General features: G+C 38.8%; 1 annotated feature.

Moving 5' to 3' along the window:
- Nucleotides 339–1,538: an enhancer, noted in NCBI's record as "MED14-independent group 3 enhancer chr13:66251524-66252723 (GRCh37/hg19 assembly coordinates)". NCBI's record gives its function as "activates an origin of replication core promoter dependent on BRD2, BRD4, P300/CBP and CDK7 cofactors, and independent of MED14, by STARR-seq in HCT116 cells {active_cell/tissue: HCT116}" and the evidence as "EXISTENCE:reporter gene assay evidence [ECO:0000049][PMID:35650434]".

A 3,107-nucleotide genomic window follows, 5' to 3' on the forward strand; every position in this document is an offset into this window, starting at 1 on the left:
ACATGGGTCAACAGAGCCTTTGGATCCCTGGGAGTGGGTGCTGCCTCACTGGTGGCATGGGAGTAGAGGGTATTGTTTCAGTGTATCAGATGCCTGAGGTTCCTAGAGGCTGAGCACTGCAGTAGCTGTGGCACTAGGGCTTGCAACTGCTCTGGTGTACTGGAGGCCTGTGATCCTGGTGGGGCTGGAACATTTTCTTGGCTGTGGCACTAAGTTCATGACTAGACCGGAAATTTGAGACTCTGGGTCTTCAGAGGTGGGCACCTCTTCAGCTTTTCTCTAAGGTTAGAGTTTGCTAGCAACTCATTTAGGGGGTGGAGGAGATCTGTGTTAGCTTGGCCCTAGTGAGTAATAGCACTGCTTGAAGATGGAGTGCTACTGGGTAAGCTTGGTGCAGTGGTAGCTTAACCTCAGGGATGGAGGGATGAAATGACTACTCACTCTTAAAGCAGGACACACTCTAGCAGTGATTTTGGTTTTAAGATGATGTAGCACAGTAGTAGCATCGACCACAAAGACCCAGGGTGCAGTGTGGCTGCTTCTCTGAAGGTAGCTCAGCTTGTAGACTCCAGGGAGCTCACTCAGCTGGGCCCAAAACATGAGAACTGTAGGATTCTTCAGTAGCAAAGAATTCAGATGTCCATGATTTTGATATGGGCTTCTGTGTTCCTTTTGTTTACATTTTCTCCACAGAAATAAGTACCTTCTGGTTCTGAGCTGATTCCCACTGGGGGAACAAAGTGGGAGAAGCAAGGTGATCCTTCTCCTTCCCTATACAGTCATCCTGGTTTCTGTTCTCTGTAGAATTTCTGCTGTTTCTTTGTTGTTCTCCAGCACTATTTTTCTTCTTGGTCAAAATGTAGTTAATTGTTGTTTTGGGTTGTCTTGCAGAGGGAGGAGCACTAAGAGCTTCTAATTGGCCACCTTGCTGACATCACCTGTCAAATTCCACCTTTGAATGAAAAGGAGCATACTAGATGAGATCTAATTTCGTGGACTTTGCCTAGAATGCCACTGGGAACAGAGCACAAACAGAAGGGGGCAGCCTTATTGGATTGAGTCAGAGTTTAGCACAATTGCATCAGAATGGAAGTGGGAAGAGGAATGCACCATAATTAGAACATGTAAAATGATCCCTCTTTTCTTAGATAGATTTCTCACTAGTGGTCCAAAAACAATTTTGTCAAGATAAAGTCATCTGGTCCTGGACTAATTATGCAGCTTTATGCAGCTTCTCCTACTTTTATTCCAACTGAATTGTCCTCCTTACATCTTTTCTGAACATATTCTCCTCCCATCACACAACCTGTTTGTATGCTGAACTTTTCACCTAGGTAGTGCTTCCTTATTTTCAATTCTCAGCTTATCTTTCATTTCCTTGGGAAATCTTTCTCTGACAACCCCGACAAGGAGAAGTCTACCTCTTTTATAATATTAAGTGACTCTCATTAATAAACATCAGAATTTTTAATTTAACTTTAAATGATAGTTTTTGATGAATGTCTATCTATGTCTTCTGCTATCCTATAAATTCTTAACATGGACTTGCATATAAGCGCTAAATTACTATCTCTTTGATGTTTCTCTGACATTTGAATATTGTTCTATATGCATGCTAATTTTATAATTATAAGAAAAATAAAGAATACATATTTTAAAACTCACCATAGAAAATTGGAATATATGGAATATTTCTGGACCATAATAAGAAAGCCTGTGAAGTAGGTGGTTATGAATTTAGAAAAGAACTCATTTGCTCTGTTATGAAGAAGTTTTATCCATTAGAGCTCATTTTCCTTGGTGATAGCATGGAGAAAAGCAGACAAGACAGACCATTAGAAATAGAGTTCCTCCATCAGGTACACCAAAAAAGTTAATGTAGTATGCTGTAAGTAATGTATTATGGCTATAAAAGTAAAGATAGCCAAAGGCCTAATTAAACATCTTGCAGGGCCAATACTACCTGCCACTTAATGGTAGATGGTAACGAGGCCTAGGGAACTTTACAGATCTCCATGGGAACTAGAGCTGGGGACTTTCCAATGACCCCCAGTATGGGACTGTATAGACCCCCATAGCAACCAGGACTGGGGATTATTGGGTCTTTATGACAAGACCTAAAACATATCTTTGCCCTACAGAAAAGGCCACCTTGGCACAGACATAACTCTCATAAACCTTAAAACAAAACTTAACTTTACAAGAATAGCTTAGGGTTACTTTATGAAATAAATATCTGGTAACTGACCTAGACTAAATATAGGTATAAGAAATGAAGAAGAGTCTTGCAAACTCTGAGAATGGTCTCCATATGGTGATCCTCCTGGTCAGTCAGTCATCCGGCTCATGTTACTGGCTTGCTCCTGCTATCTGTCTTGTAACAGCACTTCCAAAATAAACTGCTTGAACATCAGTCAGTGTCTATGACTCATCTTTAGTGCAAATCAGACAGAAGGGGAGAAGCTATTCCCAGAGAAGTTGGTCAACTAGGACCACTTGAGACTCCCAAACATGACAGTAAGAAAGAGCTGGAGTTTATGTTGTCTTTTTCTCAAAGTTTTATTAAAACAATCATAATGCAATATTACATCAATTTTCTATACTCTTCTACTCATACAAAATCATAATCATAAACAATAGATTTACTTTTACAAATTGCTACTCTATAAAGCAACATATAAATATAACTTTTGCTTTTTTTTCTTATAGATGCGATATAAAATGGATTTGTTTTTGCTGTACATATGTATTGCATAGTGCTTGTTGGTACAAGTGTTTAAAATCATAGATTTGCCAAAAATATTATTTTGAAGAGACACTATTAACTATCCCATCCAAATTGTATTTAGTTCCACAAAGCTGGAATTGAAGAAAATAAGAATAGTTTACATAAGGAAATAAGTGTAGTTAATCATAAATACTAACTATCCATTAAACAAGACCTTTTCAGTCATTACATTTCCTGTTAATTTACACAGAGCCAGCTTCTAAGCTTTCTAGGAAACCTCCACAGATGCTAGTGTATACTCTGCAAACTAGTAAACTGCCAGACAATGGAATTTTTAAGTGTTTGAGGAGGTTTCTAATTCAAGAGGACCAATTTTATT

This window comes from Homo sapiens, chromosome 13 (genome assembly GCF_000001405.40).
Source record: "Homo sapiens chromosome 13, GRCh38.p14 Primary Assembly".
In the NCBI taxonomy this organism is placed as follows: Eukaryota; Metazoa; Chordata; class Mammalia; order Primates; family Hominidae; genus Homo; species Homo sapiens.